At 39.0% G+C, this 21,130-nt stretch overlaps 1 protein-coding gene across 13 annotated transcripts in view; it reads right to left on the bottom strand.

The window, feature by feature from the left end:
- PLEKHA8 (pleckstrin homology domain containing A8) overlaps positions 1 to 21,130 on the bottom strand; it is a 102,072-nt gene that overhangs the window by 79,938 nt on the left and 1,004 nt on the right. For 9 of the 13 annotated variants that reach the window (NM_001350973.2, NM_001350974.2, NM_001197027.2 and 6 more), the window contains exons 2-6: positions 5,345 to 5,461; positions 4,181 to 4,336; positions 2,590 to 2,714; positions 1,164 to 1,322; positions 72 to 112 (exon numbers count right to left, since the gene is read on the bottom strand). In NM_001350973.2, the coding sequence (NP_001337902.1) occupies positions 72 to 112; positions 1,164 to 1,322; positions 2,590 to 2,714; positions 4,181 to 4,336; positions 5,345 to 5,461 (598 nt within the window). Of the gene's footprint in view, positions 1 to 71; positions 113 to 1,104; positions 1,356 to 2,589; positions 2,715 to 4,180; positions 4,337 to 5,344; positions 5,462 to 21,130 lie in introns of those variants that run through there. The other 4 variants (NM_001350975.2, NM_001363474.1, XM_011515596.3 and 1 more) reach the window with 4 other exon arrangements.

The following is a 21,130-nucleotide window of genomic DNA, read 5'->3' as shown; positions in this document are numbered from 1 at the left end:
TTTTTTAAACAAGGAATAACAATATCCTTATTTTTTTTTAATTTTTAGCAAGAAGAAAAAAGCTACTGTACCTTTCCAATGAATTATGAATTGGTATAATAGGATGTTTCATCTTTAAAAGAAGCAAAGAAAGGAAAGTTCACATGTTAAACTTTGAACAGAGCATATTTATGATCTTATTACATACAAAATGGTAAATATGACCATATGACCATAAAATACACTAGCCCCACTAAACAAAAACAATTTTAGGTCTTCCCAAAAGAGAGTCATTGATTCCAACTAGTCCTTCTTATTTATACAAATGTATTCCTTACAAATACATTTCTAAGGAAAAGGAAGATGATCTTTTGACAGACCTAATTATCACAGTCAAACTCAGTGATTAGATTTCTTTGTAATTTCAGTTATGCTCATTAAACATTAATAAGCAGCAAACTATGACACAAGTATTATATCAAATACTAGAGGTATAAAGGTAGACACTATGGGGTTCCTGCCCTAAAAATCATTTCAGTACAAAACAAGGAATATAAATAAAATAGGAATATGTATAAGAGAGGCTTTTAGACCAATCTAGTGATTCAGGGAAGAAGAGACTAAGTCTTTGAGGATGTGTATGAGCTAATCCAGGAAAGAGAGGTGAAGAGCATTCCTGGCACTGGAAAACGGCACAAAGGAGTGGAAGGAATTATTAACACAAGCAATGAATATGTTCAAGCTAGGTGAAGACAGGGAAAGAGCTGGTAATGTGGGAAGGGGTTAAGAAGTTTTGACTTTAACCTACAGGCAATGAGGGAGCCACTGGAAACGCTTAGGTTAAGTGGTTCAATTTATACTGCATTAATAGAAATGTGGTTGACTGGAAGGGTCAGGCTGAAAGCAACTATTAATAGTTAGAAGACTATCACAACTTTAGGCAAGACTCACTGACAAGGGGTTGGAAAGAGGCTACATTAGAAACATGTTTAGGTGGTAAAATTGCCACAAATAACTGACTGGATATGGGGTGCTGAGGACAGATATAAAAAAAGGACGTAGAGCAAAGTCCATTAAAAAACTGTCTTTATAAGTCACTAAAGGGTAATAGAGAACATAACTCACTATAAACTTTGAAACTTTTCTTGATGCCTTGTTGCAGCCAAACTGAGCTGGACTTTTACCTTGCTGGACTTGAGCATGGCCAGCTGAGGTGATCCTGGTGGAGTGCGGTAGAGCAGCTCAGAGGTGAAGGCTGCATTTGCGATCTGCATGCATTCTTCCAAGGTCTTCAGAAAAGTATTACAGGTTGATTTCAGCAAAGTTCCCACATCAATTCCCTCCTACGAAACAACCAGAGTGGAAGACTCCTTTACCTTGCCAAAAAAGAAAAAGCCCAATTGTGGAATGTCCTTAGAGGTTGCCCACAAAATAATAATAATGTACCCACCTGCTGAAATATGTACATCAGTTATAAAAGAAAAGCCCAATTTATCTATTAATCAAGTAACTATCAGCACTATTTGACTTTCACCTACAAGCAATGAGGGAGCTGCTGAAAGCCTTAGGTAGTAAAGTGGTTCAATTTACATTGTATTAGTTGTAACTCCCTCAGTCATGACAACCAAAAGTATCTCTCCTTGAGAATCACTGCTCTAGACTATAAACTTCCCAAGAGCAGGACTGAAATGCTTTTTTGGTATCCTTCATCTTCCCTCCCCCTCCCCTCACAGTCTATCTCACACATATGAGGCAGCTGCTGAATGAGTAAGAGCACCCAAAAGGAAGTGAATGCAAGTGGGTTAAATCACCTTTTTTAGAAAAACTCGAAACACATGTACTACCAGTAGCATAGTGTTCTTCTACTACCTAATAAATGAAAATCTTTCATTATAATCTGCAGTTGCACTGTCAGATCGAAACTTCTTTGAAAGCAGAGCAGAGACTCTGGTTAATGTGAGCCATTCTATACATAGCTTAACACCAGAGAAATCTTTTAATATATGTTTTAAAATAAATGAATAATGACTGTATTAATAAATGCTAAAAATCACAATCCTTGCTGACAATGAAGAGAAAAAAAGCTGTGTCTCCATCTTTGAAAGCACTAGTCTATTCCAAAGCACAGTTATGATGGTAAAACAAAATACTGTTAGTCTCATAGATGCACATCAATGAAAGACAATAAGTTGGCATCTTAATAGCCATAGCTATAGAAATGGCTCTGCAAGACTGTAATTAACAAAACAATATAAACTGGAGAGAAACATATTTTAGTATGACAGTACTAAAGTTAAAGGTTCCAAATATTATCAATTAATTAATCCCTAATTTATTCCAGGAAGGAAAGCTATACACACGCATATGATGAAATGTACTATTGCTTCTCTTTGTTTAATTTTGTTACTTTTTTCCTCTATAAAATAGTAAATTCCAAGATAGTCAAAAAATTAGATGAGAGTAAACACCACCTGTAAGCAACGTCTGGTGCTTTTTAGGTATATTAGTAATATTAATAAAATAATATTTTACCTCAGAATTGGATATACTGGTAGTCACTTCTTTTATATTATTCATGTATATTAATAATATTAATAAATAATATTTTACCTCAGAATTGGACACACCAGTTGTGGTCACTTCTTTTGTTTTATCTACTTGCTGAACAAGGAGGTCACAGTAGAGTCTTAGTTCTGACATTTTGGTTTTCAAGTTTTCAGTGTTTTCAGCAAACTCTAAATGACAAAATGATGATAATGCAGTAACCAGAACAAACAACTGATTTACTAGTTAGGATACTATGCAGAAGAGGAATCCTTACTAGTTAGGATACCACACAGAACATATGCCCAAAGTCAAATCTTTAAAGTATGGGTTGCAAATGTGACAGGTGAAGACATAATAACAAGAAAAACCAGAAAAAGTAGATCTCCAGTCTTTCAAAGTAGTATACATTATTTATTAAGGCAATATACCGAATAATCACCAGTATACAAAGAAGGAGACAATATAGTCTGACCCACTCCTGTCAGAACTGGGAGCAGAGCTAAGGGGTTCAGAGTTTTGGCCTCAGTTCTGCCAGAGAGTTTTTCCTATCTATAAAATGGGGTCATAGCTGTTTACTTACTAATGCAGTGCTCTACTCTTACCTGGGAAAAACATTCTGCAGTGTCCAATTACCACTAAGAACACCGTTCATAATTTCAGCTGAGGACTGGTTTGGTATGCTGCCTTGTCAAGGCTAATGGCACCCAGCCATTATTATTAGCAATGCTCTCCAGTCACCCTGGCATCGAGGGCTCAGCTACAATTATTATCACTTTTCTGTTTCCTTCTTCATGAAAAAAAAAAGTGCACATTACTATCTGCTCTGAGTCAAAGCCAACAGCTTCTAGAATTTATTACCAATTTAGCATTAAAAGAAGAGGCCAATTTATGAATCTACGTGAAGAGTTAAGCACAACTGCCACACCTGTCATGAGAGATGTTCCCTGGAACACTTTTTCCCATTTCACCCCACCCTAGCTCATCTCTTCAGGGTACATTTAGGGCCATGGGGCAGGGAAGGTAGCAACTAGGACCCAGGCAGTAAGCCCTGGTATTCTTGCCCCAGTCCAAAGAGAAAGCTGGGCCACAGTTCTCTGGAGAACTTAACAATGTCCAGTGAATGAGCATTAAGCAACAGGAACCTGACAATTAAGCATCCATCCCACCCCAGAAAAAAAGGGAGGAGGAGCAGGGTGTTGCTACAGAAAACACCCTGATCCAAGGCTTATCTGGCTCAACTACTCCTCACCAAAGGTCAAGTTTGGCCACAGACTGGATACTCCACCATTTTATCATCACTAATTCTCATGGTAATCCTCCTAAGGTAGGATCTATTACCTCTTTTTAAAAGATGAAGAAACTAAGAGTAAGAAAGGTTAAGTGACCGATGCCAAGGTTATACAGTCAATAAACTGCAAAGCCATCATGTGTACCCAGCTGTGTTTGGCTCCAAAGCCTGCATTCTTTGCACTATGCTATGCCAAGAAAGAAGAGTTAGATATGGACCCTGGTTTAAATTATACTAAGATACACAGCATTTGCATGACACAAAAAGCTGGCTAGGTGGTCAGAAGCAAGATAACAAATAAGGGAAATCAGAGATGCCAGTGGGTGATTCCCAAGGTTTCCACAGCAAAGGACAATCAGTACTTGCCTTTCTCCTTCTGGGTCCTACTGTCAGTCAGGCAAGCCTTGGCTGATCCCAGGGCCACCAGCCACCGCTGTCTTTCAGCCACACTTCTGGCCTTCAGGTAGAAATACTGTTCCCCAGGGATTATCAGGTCCATGCGTGTATTATCTACAGAATGAACTGGGAGCAAGACAGAGGGAGATCAGAGACTCAGAAGAGCCCTGTCTGGGTAGCCTCCAACCCACCCAACTTCTTGAGCTTAATTGATGGCAGTCATTGAAGGCTTCTTCCCAAAGAGGATGCCAGTCATTACCTCTCCTAATTCACACAAAGTTCTGTTTACTTATCTCATCTTAGATGTCTCTGTTAATCAAGAGGGAAAACCTTGCAATTGCCTCCAAGGCATCACAAAAACTTCAGCCCAAACAAGAATCACCAATTTAACTTTTCAGTTAAACTGATCTCTTATCAGAATAGAGAAGGAATCTTTCTTTCAGTGGGTGTGTGTGTTAAGTAGGCTGCTCTGAGGCCAAGAAACAAGGGTATGTTTTTTATCTCCTTGGATTTATTGGGAAACAATCAAAAATACAATCTTTTCCATCTTCTACTTCCCTTGAAAAGTCAGACCAAAAGTGTGAGAATTTTCTCAGAGGCCTTTAGGAGAAGAAACAAGCAAACCAAAGTCTTTCACCCACATCCACTACCTAAATTCCCATTTAATCTGTTTTTCTTCCGAGCCACACCTTCTCAGCATGTCTCAAGACAAAAACAAGAAGTAAAGACTATTTGAAAGTCTGTTAAGTTTTTGCTTGTTTTGTTTTGGTGGAGGGTGTGTGTGTGTGTGTCCATCCTGATTTAAACACAAAAGTGTTTGATGCTGCAGTAAAGACTTTAAGTTTTGCTAATAGCCACTGGTCCCAAGTGAGCAGGTCACTAAGGAATGAGTGCTAGTTGAGTAGTGAAACACGTTGCTCTCATTTATTTTGACCACCTCTTAGCCAATCTCCTCATAAAAGCTGGCTACAGTTTTGGGTTGTATTTGCAAGGCTTTCTTTTGACACATAACACTATGTCCCTTGGTCTGTATTATGGGAGCAGCAGAGAAAGGTATGCAGGGGCCAGGGGCTTTTTTGTTTTTGAGGGAAAACAGAAAGAAAAATAAAACTTGCAAGTTGCTTGATTTCTCACCTTGAATTTCACAGACTGCCATTTGTATGCTCCCTTTGCAACCTTTCCAGGCATCTTCAGGAGAATCATAATAGGACAATATTCCCCCACAGAGAAGGAACCATCGAGGCTGCCAACCTGAAAACAAAAGCAAGAGCATCATTGCAATTACTGCCTGTGTATGAACTACCTCCCAAGATACAGAAATAGAGCCTAACATAGGATACTGGGTTAGCTCCAAGGAGCTTTACATTGCCAGGGATATTCTAAGAGAAAGAATTAAGTTAGAAAGACCTGTATGTTTTATCCCATTTTTGTAAAATTAAAAATGCCCAAAGAAGTATATATTTTTTAGTCACAGGATTACAGAAGTCTGGAAGGATAAGCAACAAGTACACTAATGACTCTCTAGGTAATAGGATTTACAGAAATAAATGAGATGTGTATTCTATTTCTTTCCTAATACAGTACCAGTAGTCTGTGATTTTTACTTTTTCTAAGACGAATAATTAGGATGTCCTGAACATACTGTTATCACATGCTTGCCTTCCTCTCTTCTAAGAAAAATTATCCAAAACTTAGAAATAAGGCAACAAAGATGACAAGGTCCTTTCAACAAATGTCATAGAGAGTGCCAACTAAGAAGCCTGTCTAGAATCCTATGACCCTTAGGAAAAGGTAACGTGTTTGACTTATTCTTTAGTATTGATCCATTGAAATGAGTTATCTTAAAACATTCAAGGCTTAACTACATTCACTTCAATATTGGAGAATTTCAGGGGACAAACCATGTGTAGTAGAAATACGCATCTTATCTAGTCCTCTCACACACCCTATGTTCTAGTCAAACCACTCATTTGCTGTATTTCTGTCTCTGAACTTTTGCTCCAACTGGATCTCTTCATAAAATGTCATCCTGGCCAGGCGTGGTGGCTCACGCCTGTAATCCCAGCACTTTGGGAGGTCGAGGTGGATGGATCATGAGGTCAGGAGATGGAGACCATCCTGGCCAACATGGTGAAACTCCATCTCTACTAAAAATACAAAAATTAGCTGGGCGTGGCGGCAAGTGCCTGTAATCCCAGCTATTCAGGAGGCTGAGGCAGGAGAATCGCTTGAACCCGGAAGGCGAAGGTTGCAGTGAGCCGAGATCTTTTTTGAGACTCCGTCTCAAAAAAAAAAAAAAAAAATCATCCCTGACTATCTCTGCGTAAACCTTGTTTTCTCAGTCCTCCTCAGTCAGATGCAGTTCTTTTCTTTCTCTGAAATGCCACAGCCCTTTAGGGATACATTTCTCTCATAGGACTGCCATGGCTAAGGAAGCCAGAGAGAAGGCAGAGCCCCAAGGGCTGCTCAGCTACAGACATCTGATGGGCCCTTGGGGTTTGACTCACACAAACCAAGTGGGCCGGACACCAATGGTATCACTTTATTACGTTTTAATAGGAGGCTACTGAACTTCCTGGAGCACCCCCAGCCCAAGATTATGGAACAAGGAACTACACCGTAATCAGAAGCCTGAATAGTCAGCACTAAATCTATGTGAAGGAGTTGGGTAGGTAGGCAACATATTTTGCTCATCATTTACTTAATCAGGGTCTGCTTTTCCAGAAAGTGCAATACTCAGGACTGCCAGGTACCATGTCTCTTACTTCTTTAAATAAAACTAAATAAACACTAATTCCCAGCATCCACTCTCCCATAATATCTGAACTTATCTTCTCACCAAAGATAAGTAATCTTTTCTTAAACTATGGCTTTTGCTCTTATTATATTTTATATGGAGGACTTCCTTCCCAGAGACCTAGACCCTTTATTGCAGGTCAGGAACCCTTAGGCCTTATCTCTACACTAGCACAAATCAGTTCCTGGCTGGCAAACTTCTTGGGATGAACTTGTAAATTTTTATTTCAGAAGGTGATGCTGGCAGGGCACGGTGGCTCACAGCTATAATATTAACTACTTTGGGAGGCCAAGATGGGTGGATCACTTGAGGCCAGGAGTTCCAGACCAGCCTGGGCAACAATGGCGAAACCCATCTCTAATAAAAATACAAAAATTAGCCGACAGTGGTGGCATACACCTGTGGTCCCAGCAGGAGGTTGAGGTGAGAGGACTGCTTGAGCCTGGAAGGTCGAGGCTGCAGTGAGCCATGACTGTGCCACTGCACTCCAACCTGAGTGAGAGTGAGACCTTGTCACAAACAAACAAACAAAAAAGGTGATGCTTCTAGACCTTGGCTTCAAGTTCTACAAAAACTCAACTGTGAAGGCCACCACTCCTGTACAAACATTACAACCTGGAAAACCAAATCAATCCTCAGACTGTATCTTGTTGGGCACAGAATCAGTGCTCCAGGAGTCAGACATTATTGGTGATGTTTCAGCCCTTTGCAAAAGTGTTTATTTATATCTTAGGCCACCTCCCCTCACTGAAACAGAAGAGTCAATTTCTGAGAACCTGAGAAAAGGAAGAGGTCTTTGAAATCACACAGTCCAACCAGCACATTTTATAGATAAGGAAACCAATCCCAGGTAAATTAAGTGACCTAATTAGGGTCACAAAGGAAGTACACAACAGAGCTGGGAAGAAAACTCTATCTTTCTGTACTGCCCCTTGAGGCACAAAAGCTCCCAAACCTTGGCTCCCCATTCCCAGAAAGCTGTCCTGGTATAGAACAACAGCATCTTTTCACTCCCATGACGCTGGCTGGTGTGAACAGCTCAACTCCCATGATGCTGGTTGGTGTGAACACTCCCCAAATCCACCATGACTTTTGTGTAGAAGGCATTTAGAACAGCCTCAATTACTGTATTTTATCAAATTTAAGACCCATCTGTATTTGTGAGTGTTATCCAGAGAAAAAGAACCAGTAGAGTGTCAGGGTGTCTGTGTAAAGATATTATAAGGGTGTGTGAGTGGGTATGTGTGCATGTAATGAAATTTTAAGTAACTAGCTCATGTGACTAGAGACTGAGAAGTCCCAAGATCTGCAATCAGCAAGCCAGGAGAGCTCACGGTTAAGTTCCATGCTAGCAGGCTCAAGACCCAAGAAGAACCAATGAAAGCTAGAAAAGGCCAATGTCTCAGCTCAAGGCAGTCGCAGGAGGAATTCTCTGTTACTCAGTCTTTTTGTTCTCTTCAAGTCTTTAACTGATTGGATAAGGCTCATCCACATTAGGAAGGGCAATCTACTTTATAAGGTCTATTGATTCAAATGTTAATCGCCTCCACAACATCCTTACAGATCCAACCAGAATAAACCATCACATCATCAATTTTAAGACACACCATTATTTTACATGACACAAGAAAGAAAAAAACTCTACCAATTAAACAATGACATAGCACAGGTTCTAAGATGCTTCTTGATTTCAGAGTTGTTGAAATGTGAAAAAAAAAGAGTGTCCTAAAACTGAAAAAAATGTACTAAACTAGTTTTATCTTACAAGAATCTGAAAAATGTTGAAGAGCAGCTCTCAACCCCACCCAAAGCACAGCTGCAGTAAATTTTGAAAGCAGCTTGAAGGCTGGGCTCCGTGGTTCACTCCTGTAATCCCAGCACTTTAGGAGACTGAGGCAGGACAACTGCTTGAGGCTGGGAGTTCAAAACCAGCCTAGTCAACATAGTGAGACCCTGTCTCAACAAAAAATTTTAAAAACTAGCTGGGCAAGGTGATGCACCTGAGGCAGGAGGACTGCTTGAGCCTAGGAGTTCGAGACTACAGTGAGCTATGATCACGCCACTGCACTCCAGCCTGGGTGAGAGTGAGACCTTGTCTCAAAAAAAAAAAAAAAAAAAATGTAGCTGGTAAATTATAATAGCAACTGAAATATTACCTTCCTTATAACAGGTTCTGTATTTACCTAGGGTAGGTTATAATTATACAAGGGATGTTCAATATATGGCAATTTTATTCTGTCCTTTGTAACTACACAAACTGTGACCAAGAAAAACTTTTCTTATAAGCACAAAATTCTTGCAGTTTCAAAAGGCACAGTAAGAGACCAGAGAAATCTCATTCCTATTAGACAAAATTTAAATGCAGAGTGATGGAGAGAGTTCAGATTAGTATTAGGACACACTGGTCTTTCATAATGTCCAGTGCTGGGAAACTGGGATACAGCCCAGGAATGATGAATTGTAGAGAAAAGAGGCATGGATGAAAAAGAGACCATTAATCCAGTTTCTATTTTAAATTAATCTGCAGTTATCTCAGAAATGATCAGTCAAGGTAACTAAAGGGCAGATGAAAACTGTTGGTCTGTACTACTCCCTGCTCCCTTAGATGACCACTAGACTATCTTCCTATCCAATCTCCACCCTCTTTTATGCCATCCTCTATTACAGATGCAATGTGGTATCACCCAAATTCCCTGCTGGGAAGGATTAGACATAAAACTTCAATGAGCAGGGGAGAGTTTTAGCTCGTATTAGCTATCATTGCCAGGGACGGGGTAGCGGGTAAAAAAAAAAGAGTATTTAAATACCAATTTCATACGCTTTGTATTATCCTGGATTGTTTCACTACAGAAAGCATACTTGACATTTATTTTTGGCAATCCAGCATTTACCTAGTACTTTTCCATTGATGAAAACTCCCTTCTTCACACTCCAACCATGAGGTTTGGGTGGGGGTGACCAGCTCCAGGGTGGGTATGTGATTTAGGCCTAAATGAAGCTTCACATCCCCTATCCTCAATGATAGTTCCAGAATGGGCAAGTGGCCCAACCGGAGACAATTCTGGGACTTTTGCTGGGACTGGGGAAAGGCATAAAGAAATGGGGACTGTTTCTTTTTTCTTTGGTCTTAAGAATGTTAGCCTGCAGCTGCCTGCAGCAGTTTGCCATCACATGGGACCTAAACATGATTCACACACAAAGGGAAATGGAACTGGAAGGATTTGAGGGACAGAAGGAGAAGGAAGAAAATCTGGATGACATTGTTTGAACCCCCTGATCAGCCCACATCATTCCTGAAGGTAAGACACCCCCTAGATTTTTCCATTAAATGAACCAATAAATATCCCTTTTTACTTTAAGCCTGTGTGAACTGGGTCTTTCTGCAAACACAAAAGCTCTAAACTATCACATGATCATCTCACTAAACGTACAAAAAGCACTTGACAAAAATCTAACACCCTTTCATAATAAAAACACCTAACAAACTTAGAAGAGAACTTCTTCAACCTGATAAAGGCATCTACAAAGAACCCATAGTTAATGTGTATAAGGTGAAAAACAGGATGCTTCCCCTCAAAGATTGGAAACAAGACAAGATGTTTGCTTTTACCACTTCTAGTCAACATTGTACTAAAGGTTCTAGCCAAGGCAATTAGTCAATAAGTGAAATAAAAGACATCTAGATTGGAAAGAAAGAAGCAAACCTAGCTCTTAGTCAATAAGTGAAATAAAAGACATCTAGATTGGAAAGAAAGAAGCAAACCTAGCTCTACTCACAGACATGCTCTTATATATTTAAACAAAAACAAAATGCAAGGAAGCCACTAAAAAAAACCTATTAGAATAAATGAGTTCAGCAAGGTGATAGGATACAAGACTAACATACAATTAAAATTGTATTTCTGTACAGTTGCAATGAAAAATCTGAAAATGAAAGTTAGAAAACAAATCCATTTACGATAACATCAAAAAGAATAAACTACTTAAGAATAAATCTTATTTTATTTCATTTTAGTTTACTTTGAGACAGAGTTTCACTCTTGTTGCCCAGGCTGGAGTGCAACAGCGTGACCTCAGCTCACTGCCATCTCCGCCTCCCGAGTTCAAGCGATTCTCCTGCCTTAGCCTCCTGAGTAGTGGGGATTACAGGCGCCCGCCAGCACACTCGGCTAATTTTTGTATTTTTAGTAGAGACGGGCTTTCATCTTGTTGGCCAGGCTGTTCTCGAACTCCTGACCTCAGGTGATCCACCCACCTCGGCCTTCCAAAAGTGCTAGGATTACAGGTGTGAGCCACCGCACCTGGCCAAGAATAAATTTTTAAAAATAAGTTTTTCACTGAAAACTACAAATCATTGTTCAAAGAAATTAAAGATTTAAAAACCACTATTCCAAAACTGCTACCAGCTTATTCTTTTCTCACATAGTGCAAACGCCTTTCTACACTTAATGAACAAACTGTGTAAAATTTACTTTTAAAAAATCTTAGCCAAAGGACTTTTCAGTTCAATTAATGTTGAACAACACGTTTTCAATGAGCATAATTTTCTTCAAGAAATGCACTTATATTTGGATCTAAACTGGCATACCTCATGTTAATTTTACACTAAAATTTCTTTTTTTTTTTTTAATTTCCCAACAGCAACCACCATTTTTAAGTCAAAATTTCTAAATGGAGATGTTCCTGTTCCCTTAAAGATCCAAACCAAAAGTAATTACTTGTGAGTCAAACCCACTTCTGACTAGAAAGTACTGTAGCTTCCCTTCATTTTTCTTTCAGCAGCCTTGTGACAAGTGGCTCATCCAAACACATCACTATGAAAAACTGTACTCCATTAAACAGACACTTAAAAGTTTTAAAAATTACATAAAATAAAATTCATTATTTGGCGAACAATTCTGAGTTTTGATAAATGCATAGTCCTTTAATAACCACCGCAATAATCAAGATACAGAAAATTCCATTCTACCAAAATTGTCCCCAAAATTCCCTTGTATTACTCCTTTCTGATCAAGCCTTCCCCTCTCCCTTTACCCTTGGCCAACCACTGTTGTGCTTTCATTTTAAGTTCAAAATATTTCCCAATTTTCTTGGAGACCTTCTCTTTGACCCACGAGCTACTCTGAAGTGTACTGTTTAATTTCCTAATATTTCAGGGGATTCTCTACATCTGTTACTAATCTGTAGTTTACTTCTATTAAAGACACAGAACATTCTTTTAACAAGTTTTGGCAAGGTTTCTATTATAGCTCAGAACATGGTCTATCTTGGTGAATGTTCCATGTGCATTTGAAAAAAATGCAATATTCTACTGTTGTATTTTGTTCAGTTTTTTATTGTAATCATTACAATGGGCTTATTACATCTTGGCCCAATAATGACTCTTAAATAAACAACTAGTAGAATGCCTACTAGTTAGCCTCATGCTAGAGTGTATCATTCTGCCTTTAAGTCCGCCACAGTTCCTTCAGAACTTTTGCCTTAAAAATTAAGGTGTTCTAGGAAAGCAGAAGTTCATAATCTTACTGTTTAACAGGAAAAACAATTAAAAATTTAACATATTGTGAATTTTTAAAATCCTTAAGAGGGGGTTGGGGGAGGAAGAGGATCAGGAAAAATTAATGAATGCTGGGCTTAATACCTAGGTGATGGGATGATCTGTACAGCAAATGACCATGGCACACATTTATCTATGTAACAAACCTGCACATGTACCCCTGAACTTAAAGTTCAAGACTAAAAGAAAAAAAATCCATAAGAACTACTGTTGTGTAGAAATGCAGAAAAAAAAAATGAAAAGGGACTATTTAAACTCTTTCTAGAAAAGTTAGCCAAAAGTAAAGAAAAAAAGTGAAGGAAAGGTGCTTTTTCATTAACAATAAGAGGAAAAATTAGTGACCATAATAAAGGGGGAACAGAATGGGAGAAAGAAAAGGTTAAGTCCCTAAACTTCTTTCAGCTTTAGTTTCCTTTTCTACAAAATTTCAGCTGGAGTTTAGATGATGCCTAGAAGTCTCTCTCAGCTTTCAAAACCTATCCTAATACAAAATAACAGAAAACTCCCATCTTTCCCAGAATCTGATTCAAGAGATAGTAACTGCCAGGTACAGTGGCTCATGAGGCAGAAGGATCAGTTGAGGCCAGGAGTTCAAGACCAGCTTGGGCAACATAGCGAGACCCTGTTTCCAAACAAATTTTTTTAAATAAAAACAGAGAAAGTAACTAATGCCAAGAAAAAAAAAGTGAAATTAAATGTCTTGATAGGACTGACAATCTGAAATGTTGAGTCAAGACAATTTATTCATTATAAATTATGGTTTCTACGTTCATAACCCATATATATTATCATATCATATATTATGTATGCTATATAGATATGTTAATAGTGAAATAATCTACCATTTTAAATTGAAGCAAAGCAGAGCAATTAATTTGCTACCCCTGACCTCCATAGCCTTGGTGTTTTCCAATATCCAACCTAAGCGCTCAGCCACACCTCATCCCATTAGAGCCCTCCCCCACTCAGCTTCTCTAGGGGAGTTCCAGACAGGGATGCGGACAGCAAAGCCTTGGGTTCCTCTGCCAGGTCAGTCAGTTAAGAGTTCTGTTGTAGCTAGGGAGGAGGGAAGAATGAAGAAACACTCCTCATTGTAACAGTTACCCAAGCATTAGCTAAATTATAGGCTTCTTAATTTACCATTAATTAATTCACAAAGCATTTTCTGAGCAGTTGTAGTTTGCCAGGTTTGGAGATTTAGAGAAAAGATCCCAGCCTCAAGGAGTGACAGACTACTGGAGAGTCTACCATGTAGATGGTAAGAAGACTATAATTACAATAGATTATATCAAATTCTCTTTAAAACCTTCTGCTAGAAGATGTAGGTCACCTCTCCTGTGCACTTTGAGCTACCAAACTAAATATTTATTTGTTCTGCACAGTGCTTCTCATATGTCCTACCAGCACCTTAAAACAACGGAGTGAGGAAACCATGGTTTAAGTTCAGACTCATAACATCCAGGTATGTCATCTTAAGGACACTACTTAATTCCTCTGGGCATTATTTCTCTATCTAATCTATCTATCTATCTATCTATCTATCTATCTATCTATCTATCTATCTATCTATCTATTCTATCCTATCCTATCTACCTGAGACAGAATCTTACACTATCTATTTGTGACAGTCTTGCTCTGTCACCCATCTATCCATCTATCTATCTGAGACACAGTCTCACTCTATCTATCTATCTATCTATTTATTTATTTGCAACAGAGTCTCGTTCTGTTGCCCAGGCTGGAACACAGGTGTGATCTTGGCTCACTGCAACCCCTTAGCTCACTGCAACCTCCACCTTCTGGGTTCAAACGACTCTGGTGCCTCAGCCTCCCAAGTAGCTGGGATTACAGTCGTGTGCCATCACGCCCAGCTAATTTTTGTATTTTTAGTAGAGACGGGGCTTCACCATGTTGGCCAGGCTGGTCTCAAACTCCTGGCCTCAAGCGATCTGCCCATGTCGGCCTCCCAAAGTGTTGGCATTACAGGTGTGAGCCACCATGCCTGGTCTACAATGGAATTTTAATTAAGAATATATGGCCGGGCGAGGTGGCTCATGCCTGTAATCCCAACACTTTGGGAGGCCAAGAAGGGTGGATCACGAGGTCAGGAGTTCAAGACCAGCCTAGCCAACATGGTGAAACCTCATCTCTACTAAAAATACAAAAAAAAATCAGCCGGGCTTGGTGGCAGGCGCCTGTAATCCCAGCTACTTGGGAGGCTGAGGTAGAGAACTGCTTGAACCCGGGAGGCGAAGGTTGCAGTGAGCCGACATTGTGCCACTGCACTCCAGCCTGGGCGACAGAGCAACACTCCATCTCAAAATAAATAAATAAATAAATAAGTAAATAAGAATATATAAAGAGCTCTCACAACTCAATAATAAAAAGAACAATTAACTTTTAAAAATAGGTTAAAGATTTGAACAGACACTTCACAATGGAAGAGACAGCAATGGCCAATAATTATATGAAAAAGAATCCATGAGGAACCACAATTTGCAAATAGAAAGCTGAATACACAGAGACTAAATTTTCTGGGCATCATTAATCAAAACAGTGATCTAATTAACCTACCCTTAAAGTGAACTATGAACCTGCCTGGTACACAGTGGAGCATGTCTGCAGAGTGTCTGACACTAATGGGCACGACCCAGAAACTGCTAACAGTAAGCTCAATATCCATTACATATTCTTAACAAACCTAGGTACAGCTATTATTATTGCTGTCATTTTAAAACTGAGACTCAGGAAGATTAAGTAACTTGCTCAAGGTATTAGCACTACTAAGTAGTGGGGCAAAAGTTCAAACTCAGGGCTCTCTGACTCCAACCTTTTACACTTAAGAATTGGTGCAATGCTGGCTTGTGACTTTATCACTGAAACCATAGATTACATCGTAAAGAGTTGAGTATTGAATATCTATGTGAAAAAAAAAAGCTGTACTCTTACCTCATATCGTACACAAAAATTAATTCAAAATGGATGAGAATTAAATGTAAGCACTAAAAACTATTTTTAAAGCCTTAAGGGTAAATCTTCATGACCTTAGGTTTGGCAATGGTTTCCTAAGATAATGTAACACCAAAAACAAACAAGAAAAGAAAAAATTGATAAATCAGACTACATCAAAATTTAAAACTTTTGTGTTGCAAATGATACCAGGAAGAAAATGAAAAAGACAACCTACAGAAAAGAAAATACAGTTGATCCTTGCATACCATGGGTTTGAATTTCAACCGTGCACATGCGGATTTTCTTCCACTTCTGCTACCCTGAGATAGCAAAACCAACCCCTCCTCTTCCTCTTCCTCTGCCTCCTCAATGTGAAGACAGCAAGGATGAAGACCTTTACAATGACCCACTTCCACTTAATGAACAGTAAATGTATTTTCTCTTCCTTATCATTTTCTTCATAACCCTTTCTTTAGCTTACTTTATTGTAGGAATGCAGTATACGACACATATGACATAACATATGTGTTAATTGTTAAAGTTATTCATAAGGCTTTTGGTTATTCGCAGGCTACTGGTTAAGATTTTGGGGGAATCGAAAGTTACATGCAGACTTTTGACTGTGGGGATTGGTGCCCCAACTCCTGCATTATTCATGGGTCAACTGTATTTGCAAATCATCTATCTAACAAGGAACTTATATCCAGAATAAAGAACTCTTGGCCGGGCACAGTGGCTCACACCTGTAATCCTAGCACTTTGGGAGGCCGAGGCAGGCGGATCACCTGAGGTCAGGAGTTCGGACCAGCCTGGCCAACATAGTGAAACCCCATCTCTACTAAAAACACAAAAAATTAGCCAGGCATGGTGGCACACACCTGTAGTCCTAGGTACTCAGGAGGCTGAGGCAGGAGAATTGCTTGAACTCGGGAGGCGGAGATCACACCACTGCACTCCAGCCTGGGTGACAGAGTAAGACTCTGTCTCAAAAAAAAAAAAAAAAAAAAAAAAAAAAAAAAGAAACCTCTTACAACTCTGTAATGAAAAAATAACCCAAACAAATGGGCAAAAAATGCAGACATTTTTCCAAATAGATATACAAATGGATAATCAGCATATAAAAAGATAATCAACATCATTAAGTCAGAGAAATATAAATCAAAACCATGAGATATCATTTCACATCCACTACTAGGATAGCTATACTAAGACGATAATGAGGTTGATGAGAATGTGAAGACGGAAACTTCTTTGATTACTGACGAGAATGTAAAATGGTGCAGTCACTTTGGAAAACTATTTGGTAGTCTCTCAAATTATTAAATAAAGAGTTATCATAGGACTCCAGCAATTCCACTCCTAGGTATTATAGATATCCAAGAGAAATGAAATCATGTCTATACAAAAACTTGTACATGAGTGTTCACAGCAGTGTTATTTCATAATAACCAAGAAAAACAAAAACAAAAAGAACAGCCCAATCCAAATGTTCTTCAACTGAAAATGGATAAACTAAATATGGTATACATATACAATGAAATATTATTTGGTAATAAAAAGGAATGAAGTTCTGATACATGCTATCCAAAAAAAACATTATGCTACGGGAAAGCAGCCAGCCACAAAAGACCACATATTATATAATTCCATTTATATAAACTGCCTAGAAGAGGCAAATCTGTGCAGACAGATTAGTGGTTGCCAACAGTGAAGGGCAGGTGTAGGTGTAGGAGTGACTGCTAATGGGTACTGGGTTTCTTTCTGGGATAATGAAAATGTTCTAAAATTGATCATGGTAATAGTTACACTTTTTATATATACTAAAATCACTGACTTGTACATTTTAAATGGATGAATTTTATGGTTTATGAATTATCTCCATAAAGATGTTAAAATGTTAACAACAACAAAAAGGGTTGACCAGTGGTTGTGAAACCAAGAATCCTCATACTCCAGATGTCTTCCTGGTACTGTTTACACAGCACTAGTATATATAGTATATAGGGCAAGAGTCACCTTCCTCCACCTGAGGGGAAACAAAATTATAGCACATCCTTAATGAAAACCATCTGGCCAGTATGATGCAGGCTTTTGTTATTTTCAGAATGCAGTAATGCAATGTGCTTGAGCTTTAACCTGCTGGAGAGGCACAAGCAGCCTTCGGCTGGCTGGAGTTCACAACAGCAGCCCTCCTATCAGCTGAGTGGGCAGGAAAAGGACCTAAAACTACAAAGTAGAAAGCACAGGTTAGAAAATTTCCTCGTGGCAAAACATATGCACAACATTGGGCAGTCAAAGCTTTCTTCACTTCTGAATTCCTCCCCACTTCCCACCCCCGAAATAGTCTGCTATTCTAGGTCAAACATACTTTAAATATAGGTACATTATGAATCAGCTAGAATTACATAATGATCAAGCAAGAAGGACCTTTAAAAGTATTGTCTAATGGAGCACTGACTCTGAAGCCACTTAATAAGTGGCTGTGTGACCTTCAGCAAACCCACGTCTCTATATCTCAGTGTCTTCATCTGGAAAATGGGCATAATAAAGGCAACTGTTTTTTGAAATTGCTGCAAAGACTGAGTTAATCCATGTAAAATGTTTAGAAAAGTGCTTGGCACATTGTAAGTACTAATAAATTTTTAACAGTTCTTACAATTATAAACTAGTAAATCCCATTATTTTAAATGGAGGAAGATACTAAGGCTCAGGATGCTAAAGTGACCCTGCAGTTGGCAGTAATAGGGCTGTTTGCCAGGCTTCAGGTCTCTCTGACTCCTGAACCAGCGTTCTAGAGTATTAATGTGTAGCCCTACATGTATAATACTCCTTGACTAAATTTTAGGTCTTGAAAGACACAAATAACAAACACAGTGCTTCTTTAGAAGTATGTCTCACACAATGTGGGAATCTGTAACATGTTTTTAATTTACTCTCTTCATCCCAAGTTTAATCTTCTAACATCTAAAGAAAGGTACTGGCACTAAATCCCGGAATGTCCAAAAGGCAGGATGAAACCAGACTGTAAACGAAAATACATGTAAACTTTTTTTTTTTTGTATTTTTCATTGAAGGAGGATAGAGTACCTGAATACGCTTAGCATTTAAGGGAAGAGACTTCTTTTCTCTTCTAGAAATACACTCACATAAACCTCAGACGCTATTATCAGGGCTTGATGAATTCTAACTTTCAGTAATTAATACCTATCGATTTAAAATTCAAGAGGCAAAAGAAGCTCACAAAATAATAATACATAGTATTTAGTGAAGTACAATAAATGCAGCAGGAGAGATATAAAGATGTAACCAGAAAATGTTCTACGCTACGCTAAAGCCAGAGTAAGCTTTTAAACAATCTCATCATTTCTCTCTCACAGACGCATGCATGCATGTACCCACATGCACACACACAATCACATCACAGTGTTTAAACCAGCCTATGAGGCCCTGAAATATCTAGCCTCCCGCACACCCCTGCATCTTTGTTGGAGCCTCACTCTCCTCAGCTCTCAGCCAGATGGGTCCTCTTTCCTTTCCTCAAACTCGCACGTCTCCATTCTGCTTTGGGGCCTTGACACTGGCATTCCCTGTGCCTGAAAAGTTCTTCTTTATTTCCTCTAACTACACCTCTGCCTTGGCCTCTCCAGCGAACTATTAACAGCTTGATTTATCCTTCAGACTCTGCTTAAATTTTTCCTCAAAGAAGCTTTCTCTAACAACCCGTACTAGCCTCTCTGCCCTCCCTCCTCCCCAATCAATCACACACAATGAAACATGGTTCTAACCACTTAACCAATAAATATCTTTCTTCCCCCACCAGACTGTAGGCTCAAGAAGGGCATGGGCTTTGTTCAACATTGCTTCCCCTGTGCCTAGCACAGTAGATGGTAAATGAAATTAACAACATCCCCTAAGGATTCAAAAGACCAAGTGATAAACTGATTTCCTAACTTCACTCAAATTTGACACAAGGCATCCCATATCAAGCTGTCAGCATGACAAATACACAAACCATACAGAGGCATGGGTTACGTACTACCTTTGGAGAAAAATTCAGAATGAACAAAAACTTGGATTGGGATTGTATGTATTTTAAAGTTAGTATGTGCAAACCTACAAGAAAAAAAAAGTTACTTTTTAAAACAAGCTTCAGAAAAAGAAAAAGTAACTTGTCACTAACACAACATGCTCACTTCCGAAGAACAAGTAGAAAAGTGGAGGGTGGAGGAAACAAGAATGCATGTGATCCTCCTAGGCTATTACCACTTCTTTCCCAAGTAAATTTATCTCCTAAAAGGAGAGAATATGCCGAACCATCATTCTATGTATATCTGGAAAATACCCAGTGGTGTGATGGGCTTCTATGAACAGTATGCCTACAAGGACGGGGCACGTGGGCTAAGGGAACAAGCAGCATCACGTAGAGACAGCTGTCTCTGGCAATGGCTCCAGTGCCCTCTTCTTCAGGGTTTCCACCCTAGCACCACTCACAGCATTAACTTCTCTTACTTTGGGAAGAAAAAAGTAGACTCTTTTCCAACAGAACAGATAGGAATCAAATAACAAAGATTCCAAAAGATCCTTCTAGAGAGTTCTGCTTTATTGAAGGATACACAAGGACAGTCAGCAACAACAACAGCAAAAGCATTTCACTACCAGGAAATAGTTACTGTATCAAGAGACTAAACTTTCTATATAGAAAGGAGAAGGAAAAGAGGGGGAAAAAACCCCACAAAACAACAAAAAAAGTTGGGGATGGGGAAGAATGGGAAAAAAAGAAGAATGTTGAAGATGAATGAAAAAAAGTGTGTGTAATGGAAAGGAGTGAAGGATCAGGAACTAAATTTTACTCAAGTATATGCATCTGAGAGCTTAGAGAGACCTCAGAAGGAAAACTGCCAGGTCGAGCCTCCTCCCCTTAGGTTAGCAGTGTTGATCAGCCTCTGTCATCCACCAAACCAAAGCCTAGCTTTGAGTTATTCTCATCTAATCTAATTGCAGACATCACTGAAGGTCCTTGACGCAAACAAGAAAAACCTCTTCTCATTTAGTCTCTATTAATGATTACAGAAAAAAAATAAACAGGTGAACTCACTGCTAATTACACTAAGCAAAGGGAAGAGATTCTGGGTACGCCCAATAGGGGCACCTTTGGCTGTGCTGTGTGACCTCCTCGAAGTTACTATGTATGCCAACTGATCCTCCCACACACACCCATTCTTAAAACACCCGGCGCATTACCATACTACAACCTTTTAAAAACTATCCCACAAAAGAAAGAAAACGTCTCTCACCCACTCTAAGGGATACTGGGAACATTTCTGCTTTCAAACACACTGCCTTTAAAATTTTAAAGACCTAATTCATTTTCTGTGATAAAAAGTTTACTTCCAAAAAAGTGGCTAGCACAGTTTCCAGCATATAGTAGGCTTGTATTAAATACTAGTTGCACACATGACAAAAATGATCGTTCTGAATAATTTTCACAGCTGTAGAACAGTTACAACCTTCTCAAGATATGAAGCTTTTACCTCCACAAACTAGAAAAAAAGGGCGGGGACTATTTTAAAGCCAATCTGTAAGGCACGGCAAGAAAGTTGCAAATATTTGCATT

Source organism: Homo sapiens, chromosome 7 (genome assembly GCF_000001405.40).
Source record: "Homo sapiens chromosome 7, GRCh38.p14 Primary Assembly".
Lineage (NCBI taxonomy): Eukaryota > Metazoa > Chordata > Mammalia > Primates > Hominidae > Homo > Homo sapiens.
Note: the sequence above shows the minus strand (reverse complement) of the source record. Positions and strands in the feature narration are given on the sequence as shown.